The sequence below is a fragment of the Homo sapiens genome, chromosome 5 (genome assembly GCF_000001405.40).
Source record: "Homo sapiens chromosome 5, GRCh38.p14 Primary Assembly".
NCBI lineage: Eukaryota > Metazoa > Chordata > Mammalia > Primates > Hominidae > Homo > Homo sapiens.
Genome location: NC_000005.10, coordinates 130,588,167 through 130,593,502, shown reverse-complemented (window position 1 = coordinate 130,593,502; position 5,336 = coordinate 130,588,167). Strand labels below are relative to the sequence as shown.

Here is a 5,336-nt window from a genome sequence, read left to right as displayed (position 1 = left end):
ATATTTAAGTCTTTAATCCATCTTGAGTTTATTTTTGTATAAGGTATAAGGAAGGGATCATTTCAGTTTTCTCCATATGGCTAGCCAGTTTTCCCAACACCATTTATTAAATAGGGAATCCTTTCCCCATTGCTTGTTTTTGTCAGAGTTGTCTCCCAGTTTTGTGCTTGAAACCCAGGGCCCTGTTGGCATAGGCACCCGAGGGAATCTCCTGGTCTATGGGTTGCGAATACTGTGGGAAAAGCATAGTATCTGGGCTGGAGTGCACTCTTCCTCATGGCACAGTCCCTCGTGGCTTTCCTTGGCTGGGGAGGGAGTTCCTTGACCCCTTGCGCTTCCCGGGTGAGGTAACGCCTCACCCTACTTTGGCTCGCCCTCCATGGGCTGCACCCACTGTCTAATCAGTCCCAATGAGATGAGCCAGGTACCTCATCTGGAAATGCAGAAATCACTCACCTTCTATGTTGGTCTCGCTGGGAGCTGCAGACCAGAGCTGTTCCTATTTGTCCATCTTGCCAGCCACCTCCACATTATTTTCAAGGTTCTAATTAATTTCTAGTTTTATTCAGTTGTGTTTTGATAAGATACCTGATATAATTTTGGTTTTAAAAAATTTGTTGACACTTTTTTTGTGACCTAATATATTTTCTATACTGGAGAATATTCTATGTGATGTTAAGAAGAATATGTATTCTGCACCTGTTGGATGAAGTGCTCCATAAGTGCCTGTTAGGTCCACTTGCTCTATAGTGCAGATTAAGTCTGATGTTTCTGTGTTAATCTTATGTGTAGATGATCTGTCTAATGCTGAATGTAAGATGTTGATTCCTCCAACTATTATTGTATTGGGATGTATCTCTCTTTGTAGATCAAATAATGTTTGCTTTACAGGGTGTTCAAGTGTTGGTTACATATATATTTACAATTCTTATGTCTTTTTGCTTACTTGATCCCTTTATCATTACATAATAACTTTCTTTGTCTTTTTCTATGTTCTTTAAGTCTATTTTGCCTGATACAAGTATACCCACCTCTGCATGCTTTTGTTTTCCATTTGTATAATTTTTTTTATTATCCCTTCTCTTTCAGTCTATGTGTCTACAAGTGAACTGAGTTTCTTCCAGGCAGCATATAATTTTTAAAAAAATTTTTTCAGCTGGGCGTGGTGGCTCACGCCTGTAATCCCAGCACTTTGGGATGCCGAGGCGGGCAGATCACGAGGTCAGCAGATCAAGACCATCCTGGCTAACATGGTGAAACCCCTTCTCTACTAAAAATACAAAAAATTAGCCAGGCGTGGTGGCAGGCGCCTGTAGTCCAAGCTGCTAGGGAGGCTGAGACAGGAGAATGGCATGAACCCGGGAGGCGGAGCTTGCAGTGAGCCGAGATTGCACCACTGCACTCCAGCCTGGGTGACAGAGCGAGACTCCATCTGAAAAAAAAAAAAAAAAAAATTCAGTCAGTTCTATATCTTTTAATTTGGAACTGAAGCCATTTACATTTGAAGATTCTACTGAAAGGTGAGAACTGATTTCTGTCATTTGTTAATTGTTTTCTGATTGTTTTACCTACACCTTCTTCCTCTTTATGATTTTGTGGTTTTCTATAGAGATAACATTTGAATCCCTTCTCTTTCTTATTTGTGTATCTGATCTACCAGTGAGTTTTAAACTTTAATACGTTTTCATGATAGTAGTTGTGCTTTTGCTTCTATATGTAAAACTCCCTTAAGTTTTTCTTGTAGGGTCCCCTAATGGTGATGAATTCCCTCAGATTTTGCTTATCTGAGAAATAATGAAAAACTTTATTTCTCTATAATCTCTGAAGGATAACTTTACTAGGCATAGTATTCTTGTTTGGCAACTTTTTCCTTCAGCACTTTGATTATGTCATTCTCTCCTGGCATGTAGGGTTTCTGATGATAAATTTTCTGTTAGTTTGCTGAGGATTTCCTTGGATCTGACTTGATACTTTTCTCTTGCTGTTTTGAATTCTCTGTCTTTGACTTTGATGGTTTGACTATAATGTGCCTAAGAAAAGACCTTTTTGGATGGAAATTTTGGGAGTTTTGACCTCCTATAGCCAGATGTTTATATCTCTTACAAAACTTGGGAATTTTTCAGCTATGATTTCATTAAGTAGGGAAACATGGAGTGTCATGTTTCCTTACTTTTTCATGTGTCCTTAGGTTGTTATCTGCATAATTGGTGTATCATTTGCATCTTTCAATTTTATGGAATGGCTTTTGTTGGGAAAGACTTTTTCTTGTAGATGTATCTATAGAGTTGATCGGGTAAGGTGCTTTGGGTTTGATACTGGGTGGGCACAGTAATGTAGTCTCCATATGATTTCTTTGGCATGTTAGCACTGTCTGTGAGTACCTCAGTGTTTTTTCCCATCTCTTCTTCTTCTGGTATTACGAAAATTTGAATACTTGTTCACTTTATAGTGTCCTATATATCATGGTGACTTTTTAAATTCTTTTTTTTTTTTGTCTGATTGGGTTATTTCAAAAGATCTGTCTTCAAGCCCAAAAATTCTTCTGCCTGATCTAATCTATTGTTGAAGCCATTGGTTGTATTTTTTACTTCATTCACTGTCTTTTTTAGTTCTAGGATTTATGTTTGGCTCTTTTTTAATGATATCTATCTCTTGGTTCAATTTTTTATGCAGATTTTTGTATTTCCTGTGTTCTTTTGTATCTTGCTGAGTTTCCTTAAGATCATGCTTAGAATTCTTTTTCAGGCATTTTGTAATTTTATTTTCTTTGGCATCCATTACTTGAGAATTATTGTGTTCCTTTGGAGATATCATGTTTCTCTGCTTTTTCATGTTTCTTGTGTCTTTATGTTGATATCTATGTATTTGGTATATCAGTTGCTTCTTACACTTTTATGTATTGACTTTTGTTGAAAAAGACTTTCTTGTGGATGTATCTATAGAATTGGTTGGGTAGGGTGCTTTGGCTTTGATTCTGGGTGAGAAACAGTCAGGTAGTCTCCATATTATTTCTTTGGCTGTAATCAACATTAGTAGTGCCTGCAGGTTTCTCAGTGGCTTAGGCTGTGGTTGTTAGTGGAGGCTCTGGCAAAGGTTTGCTGGGGATAGGGACACCTGGAGGGCTTGTCCTTGGGCCTCTGAGTGGCATGCATGGGCACTGGTGATAGCGGCCATAGACATGCCAGTCTTCAGACCCATCAGCAGCATATGCAGGCACTGCATATCACATAGTAGTGATATGGGGCCTCAGTGGGCCAGTTCTCGGGCCCCCAGGGAGACTTGTGAGTGCTGGCAATGGCATGTGGAGCAGGCCAATCCTCAGGCTGCTAGATGGTGCATATGGGTGCTGGCAGTTGCTGGGAAGGCTGGCTACTCTCCAGGCTCCTGGAGAGGATTTATGAATGCCAGTGTCAGCAGTAGGCATGGCGGATCCACCTTTCAGCTCCTTGGATGGTACACATAGGCTGGTCCTCAGGGCTTCTCAAGTCATACAGAGGTGCATGGCAGCCCCATTGCTAGAGAGGGCAGGTTTGCTGTCAGTGGCAGTGGCCGCAGGCAGGAGGCTCCAAGGCTCTGAGGAGTGCATGCTTTAGGGCCCTTTGCTTTGTGGCCACTCTGCCTGGTTTGCTGGACCCCTGTTCCCTGGGGTATAGGACACTGAGTGGTCTAGAGTACTGGGGATCCAGCCACACAGCTGCATCCAGCTGGCATCACAACACTGAAGCCCTCCAGGTGAATGTAGGGGAATGTCAGCAGGGATCCAGGTATGTGGAGATGGAGGGACTATTGGGTCCCAGGGCAGGATGTAGTATGGTAGGGACTAATCTCTAAAAATTGCACAATGTTGCAGTAGCTTGGGTTTCACAGGATGAGATGGACCAAGCATGAATTTCTTCTCTGGAACAATGCAGTCACCTGGACTCCAGGCATCTCCCTATACTAGGCTCAGGGCCTGGGAGAGCTAAGGGACTCTTCTGTGGCTAGGATTACAGGTGTCCATGTTATGATAGTATACTATTAGGGATTGCTTGGTTGCCTTTTCCCCAAGATGAGACGTCCCTCCTATCTCTGAGCCAATTGTGACTGGGATGGCTGCTTCACTTCTCTCTCCTGTGCTTCACAGTGGTCTGTCACTTACTTGTTATATTCCAGTATTCTCTCTTAGATGCTATATTTGATGTGTGGCTATATACTCACTGTTTTGGTCCTTCTTTGTAAAGGAGGTGAGTGCCAGCTGCTTGTGGTCGGCCATCTTGATGCCTTCAACTCTGCTTTTGGAACATTCAAGATTTGATTGAGGCAGTGGAGTTCCACTGTCCTGGTTCAACATTCAGACTGTGGGGACTGCAGAGCTGGGTGTCCTCCAGTGGCCTCAGAGCCCCAGTTCAGACTTGGGTTTGGCTTGGAGTCACTGCCCAGAGTAGGAGGCTGGTAACCATGCATAGTTGAGTGTCCTCTATTTTCATTTTTTTAATCCTAATTTTTTGTTAGTTATATTTGTTAAACATATTAAAGTATAAAGTTTGATTTTACCCATCCTTTAAATTACTTTTGCAAACACAAAATATTTTAACTTTAATATGGAAAAAATAAACAATTTTTTCTTTTAGAATTATTGCTTTTAAGTGTCCCACTTAAACTGTTATTTCCTACTTTAAATTCAGAAAGAAATTCCACTATATATTTTAATAAAAGTTTAAGTGTTTCTTTTGTTTTATTTTACTTTTAATTTCACATTCCTTCTGGATTTGATTTTGTGCATGATGTGAGGTATGGCTCCAATTTCCTCTTTTTCCAAGTGGATAACCATTTTTGCAAGCTTCACTTATTGAATATTTTCTGCATTCTCCACTGATCTGTCATGCCAGCTATATCAAATGTCAAATTTATCATATCTTCATAAGTCTTAATAGATATTAGGGCAAGTTCCTCCTCTTCCTCCACCTTCTTGTTCTTCTTGTTAGTCTTGGTTTTGTTCTTCTTCCTCCTCCTCCTCCTCCCATTTATCTACTTCCTTCCCCTCCTGCTTTTTTTCACCTTCTTCATTCTTCTTTAGTAGTGTCTTGCTATTACTGGCCTTTATTTTTTCATATAGCTGACAGAATTGTCTTCCTCATTTCCAAGAAAAAAAAAAAAAAAACAACTCATGAGCTTTTTAACAGAATTACTTTGACTCTGTAGGTCAAATTAGCAAAAGAAAAGATATATTTAAAAGACTTCCCATTCAAAAGACTTCCCATTCATAAACATATGATAGCCCTCCATTCATTTAATATCCTTTGATTTCTTTCTAGAAAATTTTAATAGTTTTACACATACTGGTCTTGCACATGTTT

General features: G+C 40.1%; 3 annotated features.

Annotated features, from left to right (window-relative positions):
• Positions 313-492: a silencer, noted in NCBI's record as "fragment chr5:129928704-129928883 (GRCh37/hg19 assembly coordinates)". NCBI's record gives its function as "represses an EF-1alpha promoter that drives an FKBP-Casp9 reporter gene in an ReSE screen in HepG2 liver carcinoma cells {active_cell/tissue: HepG2}" and the evidence as "EXISTENCE:reporter gene assay evidence [ECO:0000049][PMID:32094911]".
• Positions 2,923-3,423: an enhancer, noted in NCBI's record as "H3K27ac hESC enhancer chr5:129925773-129926273 (GRCh37/hg19 assembly coordinates)". NCBI's record gives its function as "activates a minimal SCP1, AML or CMV promoter by ChIP-STARR-seq in naive H9 embryonic stem cells {active_cell/tissue: H9 hESC(naive)}" and the evidence as "EXISTENCE:reporter gene assay evidence [ECO:0000049][PMID:30033119]".
• Positions 3,424-3,924: an enhancer, noted in NCBI's record as "H3K27ac hESC enhancer chr5:129925272-129925772 (GRCh37/hg19 assembly coordinates)". NCBI's record gives its function as "activates a minimal SCP1, AML or CMV promoter by ChIP-STARR-seq in naive and primed H9 embryonic stem cells {active_cell/tissue: H9 hESC(naive and primed)}" and the evidence as "EXISTENCE:reporter gene assay evidence [ECO:0000049][PMID:30033119]".